Genomic DNA, 25,896 nt, shown 5'->3' with positions numbered 1-25,896 from the left:
GTAATGTACTATACATCAAAAGATAAAATAACATGAAGCAATTGGAAATCAGGTTTTATAATATCCAATGATATAGAGAAAAGTTTGTGATACATTGTTTCAAATGTAGAGTATAATATAGTATATATAGCATATCATGTTTGTGAAATATATCTAAATAGAAATATTAGAATACCATATTCCTAAATGTTAATGATGGACCAAAGGTTAAGAATGGGTTAAAAGTGACATGGTGGGGTGTGTGTGTGTGTGTATCTGACTGTCTGTGTTTTTTTATTTAAGCAAAACACAACATTAGCGATCTTGTTGCAGTCTCTCAAGGCCTTGGTTTCTATTGCACATAATATAAGGTGTCATTTGTAAGGGGAAAGGCATATCTCTCCCAGCTAAAATTTCATTTTAACTGAAGTCATGGTGGCTTAACACAATACAATGCATAATGGTGGGGGAAAATTTCAGACCCTGTGGGAGACCAGTATTGAAGGTGAGTAGATGATTCTCAAGTCATACTACATAGATAGTCATCTATTCCACCTACACCTCAGGTTATACCTGAGCCTATGCAAAGAAGATTCAGATAAAGAGTTGGGAATCATAACCATCTAGATGGTAATTGAAGCCCTAGGAACCAATGAGTTTGCAACAAGGAGAACGTGTAATGAGAGAAGAGAATAACCTAAGACACAATCACAAAGAACAATAGCATTAAAGGAATAGGCCAAGGAAACATTGCTCACAAAGGCAAAACAAAACAAAAACAACAAAGTAGGAAGAAAACCAGGAGTGTTCATGGAAGGTAAGGGCAGAGAAATTTCAAGTAAAAATGTTCAGGAGGACAAATGCTACTGAGAGATCAAGTAAGATGAAACAAAGGGGTGTCTATTATATTTAGCAACAAGGTATTCATTTGATGACCTTGAAAAGAATACTTTCAATGGTGTGGTAGTGGGACAAAACATTTCAGAGGGTTGGAGAGCAGAGATTATTAAATACAGTGGTTTGAATATATGTTTTATTTTTGCTTTCATGAAATCTCACTGAAATAACAGTCAAAGAATGAAATGTCATAAACCCACAAAGACAAAGAGAATGGAAAAGAGATGCCAACAAGTAAAAGATTGTCAACAAATGTTTGGAAGCTAGAAAGGGATGAATGTGTGGTAACCAATAACAGTCCAGAGAAAGCTAGATCAGGAAGCCAACAACATCAAGTTGATTTAGTGCCACAGAAAGTTGAAAGTTTGCATGAGGAACAACTAGATCCACAGATCCATGCACACTAAACCAGAGACTACCCTTCCCTCATTCTGGCAGGATATGTGAGTTTTACTTTCTGCTGATCTTTGACATTATACTAAAAGCAGTCTTAAAACTCTCAGCTCCTTTTCCCTCCTTGGCTCCCAGAATGCTGGCAGCCAGGCTTATACCTTCCACACCGCTGCCCCTCCAATCAAAAGCAGGAGATTGGAGGATTTCATCCAAGGGAAACTGACCCAAGAGAAAAGACCTACAGAACTGACACTTGGGAGTCCATCAATAAAAAGCCAGCATTCCGCCTTATAATCCTATAGCAAAGTTCACCAACCCATAAATTATTCCCATCCACTCAGAGTTTCCAGTCATCTTTTAGTGCTTAAACTCAAACACACAGCCAGTAGTTTGCCAGATATTTAGGAAAAGACAGCAATTTAAACTAACAGAGAAAAGGAACTGGGAGGAAACCCAGACAATGCAGGGTTTAGAAGCAAACTTTTAAAAATGACAATATTCTCAAGAAGAAAACCAAATAGTTCGTATCCACAAAGCAAAAACAGAATGCTAAAAAAGAAACAAGGTGAAGGATGAGCTCTTGTGAATAAAATTAGGAATGCTGAAATTAAAATTTCAATAGAAGGATTTAATGAAAAATTAAGGAAGTATCTTAGTAAAATAAGAAGACAAAGTCATGGAAAATGGAAAAGATAAAATTAGAGAAAAAAAGTCTAGGATGTCCAACAGTTCACTAATCAAAGTCCCATAAACAAAGAAGAGAAAGAATAAAGGGGAGGAAATTATTAGCAAATAATACAAGAACATTTCCCAGAGCTAGAGGTCACCAGTCTTTAGATTAGAAAGATTCACTGAGTGCCCAGGAAAAATGAATGACAAAAAGTCCACAACGCGCCAGACACGGTGGCTCACACCTGTAATCTCAGCACTTTGGGAGGCCAAGGTGGGCAGATCACTGGAGATCAGGAGTTCGAGACCACCCTGGCCAACATGGTGAAACCACATCTCTACTAAAAATACCAAAATTAGCCGGGCGTAATGGCGTGAGCCTGTAGTCCCAGCTACCAGGGAGGCTGAGGCAGAAGAATCACTTGAATCTGGGAGGCAGAGATTGCAGTGAGCTGAGATCGTGCCACTGCACTCCAGCCTGGGCAACAGAACAAGAAGAAAGAAAGAAGGAAAGAGAGAGAGAGGGAGAAAGAGAGAGGGAAAGGAAAGGAAAGGAAAGGAAAGGAAAGGAAAGGAAAGGAAAGGAAAGGAAAGGAAAGGAAAGGAAAATCTATAACAGAGGCAAATCTTGATGAAATTTCAGAAAAACTGGGTTAAAGATAAGATCTTTAAAACTTCTAGATCGTAATGGCTATTATTAAAAGGAGGAAGGATAAGTGCTGGTGAGGATGTAGAGAAAAGGGAACCCTTATACATTGTTGGTGGGAATATAAATTAGTACAGCCATTATAAAAAACAGTATGGAGGTTCCTCAAAAAACTAAAAATAGAACTACTGTAGGATCCAGCAATCCCACTAGTCAGTATATATCCAAAGAAGTTGAAATCAATATGTCAAAGAAATATCTGCATTCCCATGTTCACTGAAGCATTATTCAGAATAGCCAAGATATGGTATCTACCTAAGTTTCTATCAATGGATGAATGGATAAAGAAAATGTGGTATAGATACATAATGTAATACCTTTCAGCCACTGAAGTTGGAGGAAATCCTGTTATCCTTGACAGCATAAATGAACCTGGAGGATGTATGCTAAGTAAAATAAGCCAGGCACAGAAAGACAAATACCATATGATCTCGCACATAGGTGGAATCTGAAAAAATCAAACTCATAGAAATAGAGAGTAGAATGGTGGTTACTAGAGGCTGGTATGAGGAGGGAATGGGGAGTTGTTGGACAAAGGGTATAAAGTTTCAGTTAGACAGGAGGAATAAGTTTCTGAGATCTGTTGTGCAGCAGTGTGAATATAATCAATAATAACATATTGTATGTTTCAAAATAGCTAAAAGAGTAAATCTCAATGGCTGACCACAAAAAATGGTGAGGTAATGGATATGTTAATTGGCTTTGATTAGTCATTCCACATTGTATGCATATATGAAAACATCACATTGCAACCCATTAATGTATACAACTATGATTTGTCAATTAAAAGTAATATTAACTTTTGTTTAAGCTTCTGGATTTTAAAACATAGGTTATATTCAAAAGATCTGGATTCAAAACGGCAGTGAACGTCTCAACACAATAATGGAAGCCAGGAGACAATGAAGTCATGCCTTCAAAATTTATTTCCAACCTATCAAGTGTGAAAATTAACTTGAAATATTTTTAGGCAAAAAGTTCTTGAAAATTTACTTCCCATGTACTCTTTCTTAAGAAACTACAGGAGCGTTTGTTTGAAAAGCTTAAGGGAATCAAGTGGTACAGGAAGGGGAAATCCAGGCAGAGCCCAATGAGTTCCCTAAAATTAAGGAGACAGAGCTGAGAATCCAAGTGGACGAAGTTGGCTGGAGTTCACAGGACATAGTACCAGAGAGGAAAAAGCTGCAGAGAGAATTCTAGAGACCTTCAGAGTTTCCCTCTAGTAGTCAACAGAATACTGATCAACAAATGCATGCGAGGAAACTGCATAATGCTGGGGAAAGAGCCACCCAAAAAGATAAGAGGGAACAATCCCTGGTACTCACATAGGTCTAGCAATAGTGTGTGTTCCTACCAGCTAAACTGGAAAATCTCATGACTCACAGGACACTGGAATAGAGTACTCAGAAGGGTTTTGCCTCAGTAGTGGAGAAAAATTGTCTCTAGACTAAACATTGCTCTGATCTCACCTATCAAATCTGAAAACCAAGACTTGAAAGGATCAAGCTGTTTTCAAGTAACTTAACTGTGTCTCAGAACAAAGTTTAAGAATATTTATAGGAATACAAAAATATACAGCATCCCGAAAGAGAAAATTAACAAGTCTGATATCCAGTAAAAAATTACCTGATAGGCAAAAAATCAAGAAAATACAATCCATAATGAGAAGAAAAGGCAACCAATTGAAACGGACCCAGATATGACACAGGTATTAGAATTAGCAAGCAAGGACATAAAAGCAATTATTTTAACTGTATTCCATATGTTCAGAAAGCTAGAGGAAAGGCTAAATATCTTTTTTTGTTTTCAGAGACAAGACATTGTCCTGTTGCCCAGGCTGGAGTGCAGTGGCAGCATCGTGACCCACTGTACCCTTGAACTCCTGGGCTCAGAAGATCCTCTTGCTTCAGCCTCCCAAGTAGCTAGGACTACAGGCACATGTCACCAGATGCAGGCTTTTTTTTTTTTTTTTTTAGATGGAATCTCGCTATGTTGCCCAGGCTGGTCTCAAGTGATCTTCCCACCTCAGCCTCCCAGAGTGCTGTGATTAAAGGTGTGAGCCACCACACCCAGCCTGAATATCTTGAGATATGGAAGACATTTTTTAAAAGACCCAAATCAAACTAGAGATGAAAGTTATAATATCTAAGATAAAAAATACACTGGAGGGGTTAACAGCAGATTAGGTATCACAGAAGAAAAGGCTAGTGAACTTGAAGATATATCAATAGAAGCTATCCAAAATGAAACACACTTGCATGTGTTTTCACAATGGCAAAAAAATAAAAAGACTGCAAAACAAAAATAGAGCATTGGTAAGCTATAGGACAATTTCAGACAGCCAAATATACATGTAATTGGAATCCCGAATAGAGAGGAAGGAAGTGGCATAAAAATATTTGTAGAAGTAGTGGCAGAAAAAAAGTCCAAATTTGCAGAAGTTAATTGATACTGTCTAAAGTTGAAAAAAATTAAAACTACCAATGTAAGGATGTTATTTAGAAATGTAAGGTCATGCCAATAAAAACATCTGATAGAGCTGAAATTGCTTGGCTTTGTTGTAAAAGTGTAGACTGTGGCACTAGACTCCCTAAATTTGAATCTTGCCTGTGCCCCTTACTAGTTGGACAATTGTAAGCAAGTTATTTAACCTCTCTGAACATCGTTCTCTCATTTATAAAATGGGGATAAAAGTAGTATCTACCTCATAAAGTTTTTTTGAGGATTAAGTGAGTTAATACTTATGAAGGCTTAAAATAATGCCCAGTACAAAGTAAGAACTCTATTGATAATGGTATTATCAGAGAGCAGACATTGAGAATGAGGAGATTGCTATTTCTTGCAATATGACTTATAGTAATATTTTACTTTCTAACTATGCACAAGGTATTACTTGGATATAAATACATTTTAAATATTTCAGAAGAGTAAATTAGGGGTGAAGAAATGTAAAGTCTTTCGCGAAGTTTGCTGTGCAGGGAAGGAGAGGGACAGGTGATAATTGGAGGGGATATGAAGTAGAGGAAAGTCATGGGGTTTTTTTGTTTGGTTGGTTTTAGGTAGGAAAGACATGAGTGGGTTAAAAATGGATGTGAAGTCAACTATAGAGAGGGATAAATTGAAGCTATGGAAAAAAGAGTGTATTTGGCCAAAGCACAAATGAAGAGACATCTCTTCCATTTTAATCAGAAGGAAGGCAGAAGTTAATGGATGTGGACCTAAGTGTGTTCAGAAGTTTGATATGAGAAGTTGAATTCGCTATTTCACACTTACTGTTCTTTGTAAAATAAGAGGGCATTTACTGAGCATAAGCAGAAAAGTGGCAGAGTTGGAATTTTGAGGTAAGTACAAAAGATTTGAGATAGCCATTATGATGACAAGTTAAAAAGAAAGCTGACCAAAGCAATGCAGAAGGATTTCAGGTTAGCACTGAAGGCCCAGGTGAGGTTTAGAAGCTATACATTTGTGATGCAGTAGTACCAACCTCTTTGGTTATGTGATTTTCTCCAGTAGGGTGCTGCAACTCAAATATAGGAATGGAAAAAGTGGGACTGATTCAGGATTAGGACTTTATCAGGTTGGTATGTTAAAAGGACAATGGGGCAAGGGGATTGAGAATATTGAAAAGAGAGTATCTGAAGTGAGAAATCACAGATCCTAAATAGGCTAAAGAAAGAAGCGAAGACAGGAAATAGCTGGTAGGTCGGAAGAAAGTATAGGAGTCAGGCCTTAGCAGTCTCAACAAAGTTGAAGTATACACGTATTTGAAGAAAAAAAGAATTGTTGGCCGAGGGCAGTGGCTCACGCCTGTAATCCCAACAGTTTGGGAGGCTGAGGCAGGCATATTACTTGAGGCCAGGAATTCGAAACCAGCCTGGCCAAAATGGCGAAACCCCATCTCTACTAAAAATACAAAAATTAGCCAGGCATGGTGGTGCATGCCTATAATCCCAGCTACTTGGGAGGCTAAGTCAGGAGAATCCTTTGAACCTGGGAGGCAGAGGATGCAGTGAGCCAAGATCGCACCACTGTACTCCAGCCTGGGCAACAGAGTGAGACTCTGTCTCAAACAAAACAAAACAAAAATAAGAAAAAAGAGTTGTTAAGTAGAGGGTATAGTTAAAAACTGGCATGTTTTAAGTTATGATTTCAGTGCAATTCTGAGTGATGGTGAAGTTCATTCAGCATGTGGTCCATGAAAATGGGTGGATGAGATGGAGCTCTGAGGTGAGAGTCACTGTTGGAGGGGATGTTAAAGAAGCTAGATGGCTAAAGCATTAGATGAGTCAGCCATGTGGTTGTTGCTGAAGTCACCCAAAATGATGGCAGAGGCAATGGGAGGAACACTGCGAGCCTGGAGCCAAGGTCTTCAATGAATGAGAAGGAGATATATGGAGGTCAAATCTGGCCTTATGAGCCTCTGCAGCCCCTTGAAGTCTTGGTGACTATACTGAACAATGTTTCACTTTAGACCCTGGTTTTTTTGCCAGTGGTCTATGGATGGGCTTCTAAGGATCTGCAAGTCCTCTGAAATAGTATAGAAAATTATCTGTGTATATTTATTAAATGCATTGTTTTTCCTCTGGAAGAAGGTTCATGACTCTCATCTAATTTAGAAAGGGGTGAGTGATTAAATAAAGGCCTAAAAATTACTGCCATAAAGGATTTATGTGCAGAATAACTAAATGAAAGCAATAGAAACTGCATGCAGACTGAGAAGAGCACGCACCTATCAATATAGCTAAAAGTTTCTCTACCCTTATACCAACACCATCATAGAAAACTCATGCGCTGAGTGAGCAGCAAGGAGCTATGGCAATAGCTACGGCTGGTACTTGACTGTGCCTTAAAAGAGCTGATAGGCTGCAGAGACAGAGACAAGGGTCCAGAAATCCAAAGGGTAATTTACCACTGAGGCTCAATAACTACTTAACTGGTAAAATCTTCAGGTGGCAGCTGTTAGATACATGCCTGAACTTTAAGTGACTTTAAATTGGCCTCTTTTCACAAGAGCAGGCATTTCCAAAGAATATAAGGAACTGACCTCTCAGCAATATTTTTTGCAGACTGTAGAAACCGTGCCTGGTCATTTTCTTTCAGGATATGCTCAGCTTGGTTGATGAGGACTGTTGACCGTTCAAGACACTGGCGGCAATTAGCAACCTGCTGTGCCAACTTTCTCAGTTTCATAACCTTTAAGGAATTAGTAAAAGAAAAAAATAAGATAAAACATGCAGTGCTTAATTAAAAACAATAAAAAACAACATGAAGGAGGCATGCTGCAGTGATTCTAAAAATAAGGTTTATTAATATTCCATGGTCCCTGTACTAACCACTCACCTTCTCACCCTACCCACTGTGTCTCTTGTGCCAACCCCTCCTTCTCTTATCTACTGCTTGCATACTTAGGCTGCAACACAGTCATATACTCTCGGTTATCTACCTCCTCTGTGTATTAGTAACACTAATTTTTCTGGTTATAAATCAATGCATGCCCATTATAGAAAATTCAGAAAATAAAAAGTATAAAAGAAACACTACCACCCAGAGATTATAATTGTTTACATTTTTGTTTGTTTACATTTTGTTGTCAATATATTTTCACATATATGTTTACTAAAAAGTACCATCTTTTTCTTTATGAGTATCTACAGTTCTATGTACATATTTCTCTAAGTGTCTTTATGCATACCTGTGTGTTCACAAATCTGTATTCTTGGAAACTTTAGTTTCCTGGATAAGCTATAACCACTCAGCATGGCACAAATTATTAGTGATCACTCTAGCCTCTCAAAACATCTCACATTATACACACAGCATGAACTTATAACCACTAACACTGACGAGCAAGCCAACAAGCCTAAAACCATATAGCTGTATGGAGGCTCACACTTGACGCTTATGATCATGATTCTTCAGTTCCCAGGCTAGAAACCTGAATGTCTTCACTGAGTCTTCCCTCTCTCTCATTCGTCTTTTATATTTAAAAGTTCAATGTTTCCTATCGTTTCCTTTCTAGCAGTGCCTGTTGTGTTCTTCCCTCCCATTTGTGCTGCCACTACTCTGGTTTAGGTCTTTATCAACTCTTACAAAGCATCATTCCATAAGTCTCATAACTTGCTACCCTGACTTTGGTATCATCCCATTCTGATCTACCCTGCATACCTCTGCCATATCAATCCGTCTTTCTCCCTTCCTAAGAAACGAGAATGGCTGCCCAACACTTTTCAGATTAAGCCCAGAGTCCTCATCCTGGAATTCATGGTCCATAATCCTGACTCACATTTCTACCATTACTTTTTTCCTTTTCATTGAGTTATAACATACAACAGTAAAGCACCCAAATCCTAAGTGTACAGCTCAATGAACTTTTGCCTACACATACACCCACGTAAACCAGGTCAAGATATAGAACGTTTCTAACACCCCAGAATGGCCATCGTTTTTACTGGATTCAGAGCAGTAGGCCAAACATCACTTCTTTGCCTCTCCCCCTATAATCTCATTTCTTCTTGATTTCATGATCAAACCAGAATCATCTGGATCAAACTTTGATATTTGTAAAGTCAACCCTTCCTTGGATTCACTGAAGTGCTGCGCTTTACCTTTGTCTCTTTGATTTTGACAGCGATCATTTGCTTCCTCTGCTGGATGATCTCTACCAACTCGTCACATTCTTCCATAAGTTTTGCCTCATGCATAGCAGTATTCACCTGCCAAGAAATTTCAGAGTATTACACAGTGATTGTTGCCTTTGTCCCCTGCTGGCTCTAAAAGGTTCGGACTGACAGCTAAGCATGCACAACTTCTTCCATACCTCCCTCATAAGATCCACTCCTAGAAGAAGGGTAGAGATGATGATATTAATGATGCAAGGGCATTGAAGCACCACAGTTAGGAAGCTCTCCAGGCCTCTGGTAGATCATGATGGTTAATGGAAGGCTGGGCAGAAGGACAGATGAGATGGGGGCATGTTATTCCCACTGAACAATTCCCTTTACTCCAGTACCCTTTCCTCCTGCTGTTCTTTTGGAAAGAGGGTAAGGAGATTTATGTATGTCAAGAAAAGAGTATCCTCCTCCACAGGCACAATATTAAGATAACATTACAACAATATATTGTGCTAACAAAAATATTTTCAGTTTTCCTTGTTCCCTTCTAATTTTTCACATTAAATATATCATTAAACATATATTCATGTGTATATATTTTTCAGATAGTTGTCGTGTTTTAGTGGGTATTTCTCACCTTGGGCTGTCCAGTATCTGAATACCTTTCCTATTTTGGGATACTGGCTACATCAAAACATCTTTACTGCAAAGTCAGGGTTGGAAAAAAAAAAAAACTACCATTCTGCATTTTCTTTCCATGGATTGATTTCTCCTTCTCCTCATCTCTATTATTATTGACACTAGATGGTACAGAGCCCCCAGGAGGGGCTAAAATGAGAGCAGGGGATTTTGGGGCTGCCCAAGTATAACAGGAAAGGAAGGAGAAAAGAACTAACATCTTTTTAGTACTTAACTTGCCAAGCACTTCATAGGTAAATTATTTCATGTAATTATCATAACAATTTTACAATATAGGAACCATGTTTATTCCCATTTCACATACGGGGAAACTGAGGCGTAGAGAATTTTAGTGACTTGCTCAAAAATCACACAACTAGTAAGTGGTAAAACCAGAATTCAAACCGAGTTCTGTCAAGTGAAACCCCTGGGCTGGCTGGGTGGGCGGGCGAGGTTCAGTTCCATTTCAGCAGCACACAGAGCAGTCATACAGGGAAGCACAAGCATTCCAAGAGTCTATTCAAGGATCACTCGAGCAGAGCTCTAGAAGGCTGAGGAACAGACAATGGGTTACTTGAGAGCATCAAAACTCAAGGGGCTAGATGTGCTTCATTAGCAAGGTAGGGCTGCATTTCCAATTGCTATCCCTCTTCAGAGGGTTGCTCCATATTCTCCAACCCGAGCAAAATACCTGTCACTGGACCCTACTACCCCCTCTCTCATACTTGAAGCTCACTGATGGCTAATTTTCTGTTTCCTACTTAACTGAAATAAAATATGTCTGTTGCTGAGTGACAATCTTATGTTGCTTTTTTCCATTTTCTAGGGCAATGTCACAACTGGGGCTTCTGTTTACTCTGAATGGCACTCTAGCCATTCTACTTTTTTTTCTCAGACACCTCACCCTTTCCCTAAATTGGATCTACCTTTCCAAGGCAGATATCTCACCAGCTCACGAACTCCTTTATCTGAGACTAAGAGATTCATTTAGTTTTCTCTGGGTCCTTGCTTACAGTATCTAGAAACTTAGACACTTGCCATTTATAATTTCTTTTTTAGGTGGCTACTGGTGTAGTACACAATGATGTCGTACCTGGTTTCTTAAAATGTAATCCTCGGACTAGCCTTTACATAACACTATATGCCTGGCATTGCTCTAATTAGTTTACATATATTGGCTCTCTCAATCCTCAAAACAGTCCCGAGGTAGGTACCTTTATCTACATTTGACAGATGAGGAAAACTAAGCACAGAGAGATTAAGTGACTTGCTTAAGGTTACACAGTTAGTACATAGCAGGGATGAGATTTGGGCTGAGAGAGTGCAATACTAGAGACTACACGTTTAACCTTACACATATGCTGCTCTCCAGTTGAGTGTAACAACACCCTTTTCTTCAATTTCTGAAAATCATCATCTCTTTCAAATCATCCATCTTTATTCTGTCATCCGTTTCTCATTAGTCACTTCAGACTCCTTGTTGTTCCCCTAGAATGCCATGCACTTTCATGTCCTGTGCCTTTGCCCGAGATTGTCATTTTACTTGGAAAGTCATTTCCCCATCTGTTTACTGAACACATTTCTACTTATCTTTTAAGGCCCTTCTCAAAGATCATCACTTCTATGATTTTTCTCACTTGCTTGGACACAAGCAATTGATCCCCTATTTATATTTTCACATACTCTATATATAGTTCAATTATACCATTTCCTATATTTTATCATATTAGTCTGTCTTCCTCACTCCATCATGAGTTCTGGAGGGCAAGAATTGTGTCTTATGTGACTATATCTAGCTCCACTATCATGATGGGCACATAGTAGATGCTCCGTAATTATTTGTTGGATTGAATTAAATGTGAAAAAAGGTATCTTTTACTCCTCATTAGACATGTCCACTTTGTTACTCAAGTTACCCTAAACTCAGTAAGTCTAAAAACAAACTTATCACCTTCTCTCCAGATCTGGCTTCCACCTCTGATTTTCCTATTTTTGTGTCAATGCTACTATCATTATTGCAGTTACTCAGGTTCAGTAAACTCTGACTGCTACTTCTCCTTTGTCCCCACATAAATTCACAGCAGTCCCAAAGTCCTTCCCTCCTTTCCTTTTTAATCATGCTAAATTTCCTCAGTGGCTGGTCCAAGTGCAGTAGTGTTTACAACCAACTGATCGCAAATAGTTACAGGTTTCTTTGTTCCTTCTCCATTCCCACTGCTTCACTTGACTACCCTTATTCGTTAATATAGTGAGGATCTGAGCCAAGGAACCAATAGGTTGAAGCCCTTATCACCTATTGTGATAGGACTGTTGTTGCAAAAACCTCGTTAATTAATCTCCCTACCTCCAGAATATTTCCTTTGCCACCCATCCTCATAATCCTTCCTCTACTCTGAAGCCAGGAAAAATCATGTCTTCATTACCAGACATCTTATCAAGCATCTTTTCTGTGCAAAGCATTATGCTAAGGCCCTGCCCTCAAAAACTTTGCAAACTGGATGGGGAAGAGCCATATACATATAAAAGAAACCAATCAAGGTAGCATAAATTAAATACTGAATGGGTGATGTAGACTATAATCTACTGAAATTAAAAGGAAAGATTACTTTTGGTGGGTAAGTGAAGGAAAGATGCATGGATGAAATGGAAGTTGAATTAAATCTTAAAGATGGAATAAGACTTAGATTAAAAAGGTGTGAAGGAGAGAAATTTCAAGCCAAACAAATGAGACTGAACTTTATTTTTAGGCAATATGGTATCTTTAAGTAGTATTTTTGAGGGGAGGAAAGGTAAGGTGGTGCGAGAAGTACCACAGTGAACTTGTTTAAGAAGATGAACAGGGACTGATTTGATGGAGGGTAATAGTAAACCTGAGGACTATTTAGGAGGCTGTTGTGATGTGGACAGGGCATACCCAAGGAGAATATCAGTAATAGAAAGGAAATATCAAATATAAGAAGCACTCTTTTGCTTACATATCTTCAATTAGACAGCAAGCTCCTTGAGGGAAGATTTTACACTACTTTGTCTCTCCCATTATAACTGGTACAAAGCCTTACAACAAACATTTACTGACTGATTTAGCACAGTAAAAAAATCAAAATAAGAATGCCAAGCATTATAAAATATACTCCAGTGAGTGTATTTTGTAGAGAAAATATAAGGTGAAATGAGGGAGCTAGGGTGGGAATGTTTTTTGGACAGTCACATCAGGGGAGATAAAACCAGGCACAACTAATAGAATGAAAAGTTGGCTGAAGAGGCACAATTCCAAACTAAAGGTAAAGCAATGACATTAAAATCTTTTCATGTCAAGAAGCACCCCAGAAGAGCAGGGTCCTTAAGTGTTTTCTGAACAGGAAATACTTCAGGGAAAACCGGTCTTTGTGATGTGAATAAAACAACTCAAATTGCTTGGAAGACATTTGAAAGCCCCTGGTATTTTCTTTGTTTGAAGACATAATACATTGAGGTATTTCACTTGCTTATTAACGCTTAATTGAAAATAACTGGGTTACCTTAATAAGCATACTTGGCTGGTTGGTTGGTTTGTGGAAGACCCTAGCTCTTTATTTGACATTCGCTCTTTGTATTAGGTTAGTGGTTTTGTCTAAATGGCTTTATGTCTGTGGAAAAAAAATCTATCCTCCTTGAAAATACCATTAGGTCAATCTTGGCAACCTACTTGTATAAATCCACCCACCCCAAAAAGACTTTTGGGAGGCAGTTTGTGATGTTTATGACTAAGAGTCTTAGCCTCAATCTTCCAAGTCCTAAACACTAGGCAACACAGGCTCCCTGGTAAGTCTCCAGGTCCTCTTCTCTGCTCTTTGCTCTTTTACTTTCTTCTTAAGGCAGCAAAAATTTGACTTGCATATTTCTTTCCAACTGCCCATCCTACCCTATTACCTCCCAGCCCAAAGACTGACTGTAGAGTAAGACCTAGTCTTCCCCAATTTCCACCTATTCTTAATACAAACACATAAGGCCCCTGATGGAAGGACTTTACCACTGTTCAATACTAGGAAATAAATAGGTGGGAGTTCGCCAAAGCCATAAGTTGCAAAGATTTAAGAAACTGCAAAAAGTTATTTTGGCAATTGTTTCTCTTCTGTATTGAAATGTAAATGGACTAGACCTTTTTACCCTTAGCTTCTTTCAGAGAGCTTATTTGATAGTTAGGATTTTTGGGGGGGGGGAGGGGGAGGGGGCAGGGGAGATATTCCATTGCTCATTCTATAGTTATTTTATTCCTGGGTTTAAAGTTCATCAGCCTTCCCTCCAACCCACTCCCACGATAACTTCCCCACTTCCACTTTCACCTCAGCTTAGTCACATCCATCAGTCCTATAGTGCATCATTGCACAGGAGTTCAGAAGGCACTGAGATTTCCTGTTCAGATGGAACAAGATATATGAAATAGTAGATGATCCCATATACCCAGACTCAAGTGAAATGCAATAATAATAATAATAATTATATGGCAAGGAATTCCTCACTGGCTTCTCCGTCTCAGTGCTCTCCACTCTACACAGTAAATGCCAGCCTAGTTTATTCTCTGAAATCTTCTGCCCAAATAGATCTCCCTTTCACCAGAATATTGTGAAATTTTGGCATTAAAGTTCATTTGGGGAAGTTTTTATTTCAACAAACATTTATTGAGTGTCTCCCACATACCACAGTATATCCCACATGTATCCAGCATAGTGCTGGGTTTCCCTGAGTGGGATATAACGATGAAAATGACTCAGCTTCTGCCTTCAAGGCACTTACAGTCTAGTAGAGACTATGAGTGTGAATACAACTAATTATAATTTAAAGACCAGCAAAACAAGTAATATAATAGAATACAATTAAAGGTGTATGAGATCATAGGAAAGAGAAAATTTGGAAAAGGACAATCAGAGGATTAGATAAAGTTTCATGTAGCTGAGCTGGTCTTCAAGGATGAGCAAGACTTGGGCAGCTAGAAATGGAGCTTAAGGGGAGACAAGTTTAGGCAGAATGAATTACATGAATAGCATGAGCAAAAGCATAAGCAGAAAAATAGAAAACGTGCTTGGTTAAAGCAGATCAGCCTGACAGATGTAATGGAGGCAAACAAGGCTAGAAACAAGGGTTGGAGATATATTATGGAGAGCTGTGCTGTCATTTTGAGTCTCTGAAAGTACTTGGATAAAAATGTCAGGATCTTAGCATTATAGTAACACCTTAAGAATTGTTAATTGACATCTTAGTTGAGAGCAAGGTGAAGAGAGAAGGCAGACACAGTACATGAAGAACTGGGAGGGGGACACAACAAACTTCCCACTTCCCATTATTGCCCAGGACCACTCAGGTGATCACTATCCCACCTTCTGAGACTCCATAACAGAAAAAAGAGGCTGAGTTTGGCTTTATTTAATAAGCAGTCACTTTCTGTGCAAAGGAGATGAGAAGGAAAAGTGAGAGGTAAATTGGACATCTGATGAATTATCAAGAAATTATTATGAACAGCCTTGTCACCTTACTGAGCTGCAAAGAATTCATTACTTTCTTAAAATGATGCATTTAAGAAAACACAATGTTTATGAACAGACATAGCATTTGCTGTGGCAGCATCAAAGCTAAAGTGTTAACCCAGATCACACTTTAAGGATCCTTCTCCCTCTCTCCTCCCACCCTCACACTCTCTCACACGCACACACATACACACACATCACTACCACTAGCACTAGCATCATGATCACCACCAGCACTATAGCCCTGTTATATCAGGAAGTTTCAAATGTACAAAAGGAAGAGGAAGAAGAGACAATCTTCTTTTTTGTTTTCTAAAGGTAAACACTGCAACATTTCAAAGATGGTCCTTCCAGCTTTACGTAAGTATGACTAAATGAAGCAGGGATTTAAAAAAAATTGGTTATACCTGTTTCTTTAGATTTGAGGGAGGGTGGTCACTTAAAGGAGCAAGAAATAAATGAAATTATTAATAGAATTTTTAGTCACCTGTACTGGAGTAACTACAGTTTAGCAAGCAAAAAAAATACTGAGACATAGTTAAGGAATCTACAGCTTCAGTGTGTAATTTTTTTGGCCAGGGAAGGGGTGAGGGATTAGGAGAGTAGAGGTAGCTGGGAGATTGGCTGTTAAAGTTAGAAAAGTAGTGTGGATGGGGAGGTGGCAGCCAAGCCATTTCTAGAAGTATAACTATCGTAGTGAATTGGGCTCAGGGACTCATGCTACGTGAGGCCTTCAGATAGACAATGACTGACAGAAAAGTTTTCTATCTGCTTGTGGGAGGAGTACATAAGAGTTAATACTTTTATAGTGCTAACCACATGTTAGGCACTATTCTAATTGCTTCATGTATTTTCACTTGTTTACTTTTCCCATTAACCCCATAAGGTAGGTACTATTATTACCATTCCCATTCTATAGAAGAAACCGAGAAAACATAGAGGTTATGTAACTTGCCCAAGGTCATATAACTAGTAAATATCAGAGCCAGGATTTGCACCCAGGCAGTCTGGCTCATGTCTATGGTTTTAACCACTGTGTGTATGCGTGCGTGTGTGTGTGTGTGTGTGAGAGAGAGAGAGGCTGTGCTCACAAACATATACTTCTTTTTCCTTTAGAGTTGCCTCTCACGACAATCACAATCTCTAGAGTTAACCATTGCAAATATTTTGTGTATTTCCTTCCTGACTTTTGAAAAAAAATAGTACCTGTATAGAAATGCATAATACAACATATTTTAAAAGCATAGACAGTTCACACACATATATATACACACATATATTTTGTATGTACTTTACTCTATGTCTAACTAATAAAAATAATGGAGACAGAGCGTGAGGACAATCTGCTTCATATACATGCCTTAGGAATGGCATTATGCCATGTGGCCATTCTGTGTTGATTTTGGAGTCCTTTCTCCTCAGGGAACAGACAACCAAACCTTTATAGCCTTAGGCTTAGTTACTGTCTCCCCCATATTCTCTTTGTAAGCAAAGTAACTGTTTATTTTTTATTTTTTTAGACGGAGTCTTGCTCTGTTGTCCAGGCTGGAGTGCAGTGGCATGATCTCGGCTCAATTCAACCTCCACCTCCCAAGTTCAAGTGATTCTCCAGCCTCAGCCCCCAAACCCCCCCAACCCCGCCGAGTAGCTGGGACTATAGGCATGCGCCACCATTCCCGGCTAATTTTTGTATTTTTAGTAGAGATGGGTTTCATCATGTTGGCCAGGCTGGTCTCGAACACCTGACCTCAAGCGATCCATCCACCTTCGGCCTCCTAAAGTGCTAGGATTACAGGTGTAAGCCACCAAGTAACTGTTTGGAACATGGAAGAAAAAGGTGGGAGATATAACCTATGTTTTTCATCTGGTATTTTATGTACATAGCTATAAAATTTTTTGTGAAATGAGGCAGAAACCTCCTTTCTATCTCGTCAGAACCATGTAATTAGATCTTAAAAAGACTGAAGAAATAATCGATTCCTACTCCATCACTTAAGAGACAGAAATATGGGGCCTAGAGAGGGGAGAGGCTTATCCAGCATCACATTGCTACTAAATGACAGGGCAAGGCTTGAGCCAGATCTTCTGAGTCCTATCCAGTGTTCTTTCCAATCTACTGCTTGTTTTGTAAAGCATGGCACTTGCTTATAAATCCCTCTGAAGAAATAAAACTCTCTAGCTCTCATCCTTGTGTATTTACCCTAGAAATATGAACATTTATGTCCACACAAAAACCTTACACGAATGGTCATAACAGCTTTGTTTCTATTAGCAAAAAACTGGAAACAACTGAAATGCTCTTCACCGTGGGCACATATAAACAAATTGTAGAATATTCACATAGTAGAATACTACTTAGTAATAAAAAATAAAAAACTATTGATGTACACAACAAATTCAGTGGCTCTCAGGGCCATTATGATGAGTGACATAGCAAATCACAGTATTTTACATACTATATGATTCCATTTACATAACATTCTAGAAATGAGAAAATTATAGTAATGATGAACATATCAGTGGTTGCTGGGGGACAGATGTGCCTATAAAGAAGTAGCACAAATGAGTTTTGGGGGGATGATAAAACAATAATGTCCTAATTACAGTGGTGATTACAAGAATCTATAAATGTGATAAGATTAATAGAACTATCCACCCCCCCCCCAAAAAAAGTTGAGTGCATGCAAAAGCTGGTAAAAATCAAATGAGGTCTATAGTTTGCTCAATAGAATTATTGTACCAATGACAGTTTCCTAGTTCTGATAGTTGTGTGGTTATGTAAGATGTTAACATTAGAGAAGGTTAGTTAAATGTATGTGGGAACTCTCTGTATTATTTTAGCAACTTTTATGTAAGATTAAACTTATTTTTAAAAAGAAAAAAGAAAGAAAACTCTCTAGAAGTCCCATAATGTTTTAGGCAGGCCTGGTCAACCAACATTTCTGTAGTTTTCTGAAGTTCTAATATATCTTCAGGCCTTTGCTCAACTGGCGTTCTCTCTCTCTCTCTCTCTTTCACACACACACACACACACACACACACACACACACACTCACCCCACTCTGTAACCTAGTTTATTTTTATCCGTAATACTTATAATCCCTAATAAAAATATGTTTGTTTATTGTGTGTCTCCTCCCATTAGAATGTAAGCTCCTTAAGTTTAAGCACTTTTTGTTCACTGTATCCCTAACACCTAGAATAGTGCTTGTCACACAGTAAATGCTCAGTAAATATTTGTTGAATGAATGAATGTGTGTAGGCATTGAAATAAAGGTATTATGAAAAAAGGTATTGTATACTATGTTACATTTCTTTATTACATGAGACAAATTTCTCTTTCATTTTATTTTTGCACACTCAAAATAGTTTTATCTGTTGTGTCATTTAAATATTGTTTTCTGAATTATGAAAGATTTGGAGAGACGTTGGAATAACAACACCTCTAGGAGACCTAGGAGATTCTAGGAGACCACATATTCTGAAATATTTCCTTTCCCTGTGTTAAAATAAATAAAAAGTTGCCTTTCCTAGGTGCTTTACTCACCTGGGCTTTACTCACCCTTATGATGCATAAAAGATTGTACTTACAACATCTGGCCACCAGATGGCAATGTTTATCCAAATATCCTTTCTCGGTACCTATTCGTGTACCAAGCCATGTGCTGGGTATAAAAAAAAAAAGGATAGGACACCATACTCGGCCTGAGAGCTTAGTCTGGTGGGGAGACAAATCGGTATATAGAAGTGCTATGATGAAAGTATGCACAGGTTACCCTGAAGACACAGAGGAGGAACACCTGAACCAGATGAGGGAGGCAGGGAATGAGGCTTAGAGCATGGGTGATGGCTTCTTAAAGGAGGTGAAGGCTGAGCTGAGCAGTACTCCTACAGATGGAAAATCGAAGGAGTGTAAGTTCTGTGAAGACAGGTGCGACGTCCACCATTATGTTGCCAGTGCCTGGCCCAATGCAGAAATGCGCTTAAATATTTTTGGAATGAATGAACAGCATATAAAGTACAGATGGCAAAAGGACATCATTAGATGTGCTAGTACTTTATATTATTTTCAACTTTCAGAATAACTCTTCAAAGTACATACTATCATCCTATTTTTTAGATGAATAAAATGAGGTTCAGTGTACGCAGCTTATAAAACAGAGCCAGACAGACTCAAGTCTATCACTTTTCTTTCCACTTACTGTCTCCCAGTGAGCATATTACTATTAATAAGTCAACTCATATTCTGCTTAAAAGGACTTGGAAAAGTGCTTCACAATATTGACATTCCTCCAAAAACAAGATAAAATATATCTACTTAATCGTTCCTTTTTAAAAGTTTTAAATTGACTTGTTTATTTTCATGTTAAAAATAGAATCAACTAAAAAGTTAACATAATGGTATATTCTCAAATCAGCTACCCGATTTCTTTAAGTAATAATGAGACATATACATGCCTTTTCAAGACAGGTTAAAGAATCAAATAGCAGACTGTTAACCTGAGATATTAACAAAATAAAAACATTCTAGTAATATTTCAGCTAATAAGCAAAATTCATAGTTTCATAGTCTAGCAGTAAAAAGAAGCACTGACAAAGACTGTGTTTTTTACACGAAGTGAGAAGATCTGTGTAATACTACATTATAGGATCAAAAGGACATTAACTGTTTTACTGTTTTATAATGTTTATGGGAGATATTTCAATAATAGCACTGTTTTTCAGAAAGCCGTAAGAACATGAAAGATTATAGACAGACATCACTCTTACCATGGAGGATACACCCAATTCTTGAAGCAGTCAACACTCATTTATGTGGATACATTACAGGTCATTTCATATTACCATTGAACAAATTTTACTGTTATTATGTGCTAGGCATTTTAGTAAGCACTTAGCAATACACGAGATAGATAAGGCCTCTGCCATCATCTCGTGAATCTTATAATGAGCAGGGAAGCAGATACTGAGCAGTTACCTGTTTGAGGAGTGCTACAAAAGAGGTTTATCACGTAAAAAGGATAATCTTTGGGTGCTTATAAGATGGGGATTTAACCAACAGTTGTCAAGTGGGGAGCTTAGATGGTCAAGGAAGGCTTCCTAAGGATGTGATATTTTTAAGGAATGAATGAGAGTTAGCTAGAGGAAGGGGAGATTCACAGCAGAGAAGACGAAGACAGCAAAAAGGTCTGGGAGACCATGCTAGAGAGGTAGGTAGGGGCCAGATCATAATGGGTTTTAAAGGCAGTGGGGGAACCATTAAAGGGTTTGTGGTAGGGAGTGACATGACAGGTTTTGCATTTTACAAGTTCATTTCCACAGCAATGTGGAAAATGGATAGGAGGGGAACAGGATGGGCCAGAGAGACCAGTTAGAAACTGCAGTTTCCAAAATGATTGTGGCATGGCCATGGCTGCTACCTTCAGGAAGCTTCTAGTCCAACCAAGGAAACAGCCTGTAACCAAGAAATTCCTTCATGGAAGAGCAAGCAGTCTAATAGAGGTTTGCACAGGCTGTTCCACCCAAGTTCATGTGACTAGTGGGTGACAGAGCCAGCAGCAGAACCCAGGTTTCCTGATTTCTAGTCTAGGGCTTTTTCCAAGGCCATCCTTTTCACTGCCTTCACAACCAAGGAATTATGGAAAGGGAGGAGAACAAAGCAAGCCAGTGAATGTTTCCGCCTTCTTAAGTCTCAGATCAGATTGTGGGGAGCATTTAGCCACTCTCTGTACTCAAGTCTGACATAAGCACTCCTCCCAAGACATTTGTTTCTGAGGGATGGATTCACCATCGTGATACTCCCTGTATATATACAGAGCAAGGAATTTCTACTGGGAGGGCCAGGGAAATTTGAACTCTCATAGCTAAGGTCGAAAAGGGCATTGTTATGAGAAAGAGGTCATTCTTTCTGAGACAGGGAACTCTGGATGACAAAAGGGAAAAAATCTGATTCCAGGCAGACAGAAAACAGTCTGATTCCAGCCCAACAGAAGAAGCAAGGGCCCAAGTAGAAGAGTGAAAATAGCTGAAGAAGAGCCTATGTTGCTTCTAAGCTGAGGGAGTAGAGAAATAGGAAGTACCAGGAAAGAGCCTGAAAGACAAGGACCAGAGGAATTCTGTTTGTAAGCATCAGAGGGAAGGGAAGCCTCAGAATAATAACCAACGCTGAACTCTGTGACTGGGCAACAAAGAGGTCTTGAGAACATATTTCCAGAGGTCTCAACTACCTTGTGAGTCAAGAAATAAACAAAGGGGTTTCTACGGGGAAAACCCCAAGGGGGTCAGAGGCCCTGATTAGGATGGGCTGGGCGCAGTGGTTCACACCTGTAATCCCAGCACTTTGGGAGGCTAAGGCGGGCAGATCACTTGAGGTCTGTTTTAGGCTCAGCCTGACCAACATGGTGAAACCCTATCTTTATTAAAAATACAAAAAATAGCCAGGCATGGTGGCGCATGCCTGTAATCTCAGCTACTCGGGAGTCTGAGGCAGGAGAATCACTTGAACCTGAGAGGCGGAGGTTGCAATGAGCTGAGATTGCGCCACTGCATTCCAGCCTGGGTGACAAGGTGAGACTCTTTCTCAAAAAAAAAAAAAAAAAAAGGTATAAAACAAACAGGAGGATGGAGCCAAGATGGCCGAATAGGAACAGCTCCAGTCTACAGCTCCCAGCGTGTGTGACGCAGAAGACGGGTGATTTCTGCATTTCCAACTGAGGTACTGGGTTCATCTCACTGGGGAGTCTCAGAAAGAGGGTGCAGGACAGTGGGTGCAGCGCACCGAGCGTGAGCCGAAGCAGGGTGAGGCATCGCCTCACCCAGGAAGCTCAAGGGGTCAGGGAATTCCCTTTCCTAGTCAAAGAAACGGGTGAGAGACAGCACCTGGAAAACTGGGTCACTCCCACCCTAACACTGTGCTTTTCCAATGGTCTTAGCAAACGGCACACCAGATTATATCCTGCGCCTGGCTCAGAGGGACCTAATCCCACAGAGCCTCGCTAATTGCTAGCACAGCACTCTGAGATCAAACTGCAAGGTGGCAGCAAGGCTGGGGGAGGGGCACCCACCATTGCCGAGGCTTGAGTAGGTAAACAAAGCAGCTGGGAAGCTTGAACTGGGTGGAGCCCACCGCAGCTCAAGGAGGCCTGCCTGCCTCTGTAGACTCCATCTCTGGGGGCAGGGCATAGCCAAACAAAAGGCAGCAGAAAACTCTGCAGACTTAAATGTCCCTGTCTGACAGCTTTGAAGAGAGGAGTGGTTCTCCCAGCACACAGCTGGAGATCTGAGAACAGACAGACTGCCTCTTCAAGTGGATCCCTAACCCCCGAGTAGCCTAACTGGGAGGCACCCCCCAGTAGGGGCAGACTGATACCTCACAAGGCCGGGTACTCCTCTGAGACAAAACTTCCAGAGGAAAGATCAGGCAGCAACATCTGCTGTTCACCAATATCCACTGTTCTGCAGCCTCTGCTGCTGATACCCAGGCAAACAGGGTCTGGAGTGGACCTCCCACAAACTCCAACAGGCCTGCAGCTAAGGGTCCTGACTGTAAGAAGGAAAACTAATAAACAGAAAGGACATCCACACCAAAACCCCATCTGTACGTCACCATCATCAAAGACAAAAGGAAGATAAAACCACAAAGATAGGGAAAAAACAGAGCAGAAAAACTGGAAACTCTAAAAATCAGAGCGCCTTTCCTCCTCCAAAGGAACGCAGCTCCTCACCAGCAACAGAACAAAGCTGGATGGAGAAAGAATTTGATGAGTTGAGAGAAGAAAGCTTCAGATGATCAAACTACTCCGAGCTAAAGGAGGAAGTTCGAATCCAAGGCAAAGAAGTTAAAAACCTTGAAAAAAAATTACATGAATGGCTAACTAGAATAACCAATGCAGAGAAGTCCTTAAAGGACCTGATGGAGCTGAAAACCATGGCACGAGAACTATGTGATGAATGCACAAGCCTCAGTAGCTGATTCGATCAACTGGAAGAAAGGGTGTCAGTGATGGAAGATGAAATGAATGAAATGAAGTGAGAAGAGAAGTTTAGAGAAAAAAGAAAAAAAAGAAATGAACGAAGCCTCCAAAAAATATGAGACTATGTGAAAAGACCAAATCTACGTCTGATTGGTGTACCTGAAAGTGACGGGGAGAATGGAACCAAGTTGGAAAACACTTTGCAGGATATTATCCAGGAGAAATTCCCCAATCCAGCAAGGCAGGCCAACATTCAGATTCAGGAAATACAGAGAATGCCACAAAGATACCCTCGAGAAGAGCAACTCCAAGACACATAATTGTCAGATTCACCAAAGTTGAAATGAAGGAAAAAATGTTAAGGGCAGCCAGAGAGAAAGGCCGGGTCCCACAAAGGGAAGCCCATCAGACTAACAGCGGATCTCTCGGCAGAAACTCTACAAGCCAGAAGAGAGTGGGGGCCAATATTCAACATTCTTAAAGAAAAGAATTTTCAACCCAGAATTTCATATCCAGCCAAACTAAGCTTCATAAGTGAAGGAGAAATAAAAGCCTTTACAGATGAGCAAATGCTGAGAGATTGTGTCACCACCAGGCCTGCCCTAAAAGAGCTCCTGAAGGAAGCACTAAACATGGAAAGGAATAACCGGTACCAGCCACTGCAAAATCATGCCAAATTGTAAAGACCATTGAGGCTAGGAAGAAACTGCATCAACTAACGAGCAAAATAACCAGCTAACATCATAATGACAGGATCAAATTCACACATAACAATATTAACCTTAAATGTAAATGGGCTAAATGCTCCAATTAAAAGACACAGACTGGCAAATTGGATAAAGAGTCAAGACCCATCAGTGTGCTGTATTCAGGAAACCCATCTCAAGTGCAGAGACACACATAGGCTCAAAATAAAGGGATGGAGGAAGATCTCCCAAGCAAATGGAAAACAAAAAAAGGCAGGGTCTGCAATCCTAGCCTCTGATAAAACAGACTTTAAACCAACAAAAAGATCAAAAGAGACAAAGAAGGCCATTACATAATGGTAAAGGGATCAATTCAACAAGAAGAGCTAACTATCCTAAACATATATGCACCCAATACAGGAGCACCCAGATTCATAAAGCAAGTCCTTAGAGGCCTACAAAGAGACTTAGACTCCCACATAATAATAATGGGAGACTTTAACACCCCCGCATTGTCAACATTAGACAAATCAACGGGCAGAAAGTTAACAAGGATATCCAGGAATTGAACTCAGCTCTGCACCAAGCAGACCTAATAGACATTTACAGAACTCTCCAGCCCAAATCAACAGAATATACATTCTTTTCAGCACCACACCACACCTATTCCAAAATTGACCACAGTAAAGCACTTCTCAGCAAATGTAAAAGAACAGAAATTATAACAAACTGTCTCTCAGACCACAGTGCAATCTAACTAGAACGCAGGATTAAGAAACTCACTCAAAACCGCTCAACTACATGGAAACTGAACAACCTGCTCCTGAATGACTACTGGGTACGTAACAAAAGGAAAGCAGAAATAAACATGTTCTTTGAAACCAATGGGAACAAAGACACAACATACCAGAACCTCTGGGACACATTCAAAGCAGTGTGTAGAGGGAAATTTATAGCACTAAATGCCCACAAGAGAAAGCAGGAAAGATCTGAAATTGACACCCTAACATCACAATTAAGAGAACTAGAGAAGCAAGAGCAAACACATTCAAAAGCTAGCAGAAGGCAAGAAATAACTAAGATCAGAGCAGAACTGAAGGAAATAGAGACACAAAAAACCCTTCAAAAAATCAATGAATCCAGGAGCTGGTTTTTTGAAAAGATCAACAAAATTGATAGACCACTAGCAAAACTAATAAAGAAGAAAAGAGAGAAGAATCAAATAGATGCAATAAAAAATGATAAAGGAGATATCACCACCGATCCCACAGAAATACAGACTACCATCAGAGAGTACTATAAACACCTCTAAGCAAATAAACTAGAAAATCTAGAAGAAATGGATAAATTCCTCAACACATACACTCTCCCAAGACTAAACCAGGAAGAAGTTGAATCTCTGAATAGACCAATAACAGGCTCTGAAATTGAGGCAATAATTAATAGCTTACAAACCAAAAAAAGTCCAGGATCGGATGGATTCACAGCTGAATTCTACCAGAGGTACAAGGAGGAGCTGGTACCATTCCTTCTGAAACTATTCCAATCAATAGAAAAAGAGGGAATCCTCCCTAACTCATTTTATGAGGCCAGCATCATCCTGATACCAAAGCCTGGTAGAGACACAACAAAAAAAGAGAATTTTAGACCAATATCCCTGATGAACATCGATGCAAAAATCCTCAGTAAAATACTGGCAAACCGAATCCAGCAGCACATCAAAAACCTTATCCACCATGATCAAGTGGGCTTCATCCCTGGGATGCAAGGCTGGTTCAACATACACAAATCAATAAACATAAT

General features: G+C 39.5%; 1 protein-coding gene and 1 long non-coding RNA gene across 5 annotated transcripts in view, besides 1 other annotated feature; one reads left to right on the top strand and one right to left on the bottom strand.

Annotated features, from left to right (window-relative positions):
• Positions 1–18,718, top strand: part of LOC101928335 (uncharacterized) — a 41,384-nt gene extending 22,666 nt beyond the window's left edge. Inside the window, exon 4 of the long non-coding RNA NR_110395.1 lies at positions 16,955–18,718. This is a non-coding gene — a long non-coding RNA (uncharacterized LOC101928335). The remainder of the gene's footprint in view (positions 1–16,954) is intronic.
• The window catches only part of MID2 (midline 2), a 105,903-nt gene that overhangs the window by 18,323 nt on the left and 61,684 nt on the right, over positions 1–25,896 (bottom strand). For all 4 annotated transcript variants that reach the window (NM_001382751.1, NM_001382752.1, NM_012216.4 and 1 more), the window contains exons 4-5: positions 9,250–9,357; positions 7,689–7,837 (exon numbers count right to left, since the gene is read on the bottom strand). In NM_001382751.1, the coding sequence (NP_001369680.1) occupies positions 7,689–7,837; positions 9,250–9,357 (257 nt within the window). The remainder of the gene's footprint in view (positions 1–7,688; positions 7,838–9,249; positions 9,358–25,896) is intronic.
• Positions 19,098–19,147: an enhancer, noted in NCBI's record as "active region_29837". NCBI's record gives its function as "activates an Ori minimal core promoter by ATAC-STARR-seq in GM12878 lymphoblastoid cells {active_cell/tissue: GM12878}" and the evidence as "EXISTENCE:reporter gene assay evidence [ECO:0000049][PMID:35858748]".

Source organism: Homo sapiens, chromosome X, assembly GCF_000001405.40.
Source record: "Homo sapiens chromosome X, GRCh38.p14 Primary Assembly".
NCBI lineage: Eukaryota > Metazoa > Chordata > Mammalia > Primates > Hominidae > Homo > Homo sapiens.
This window is presented reverse-complemented; position numbering and strand designations above follow the sequence as displayed.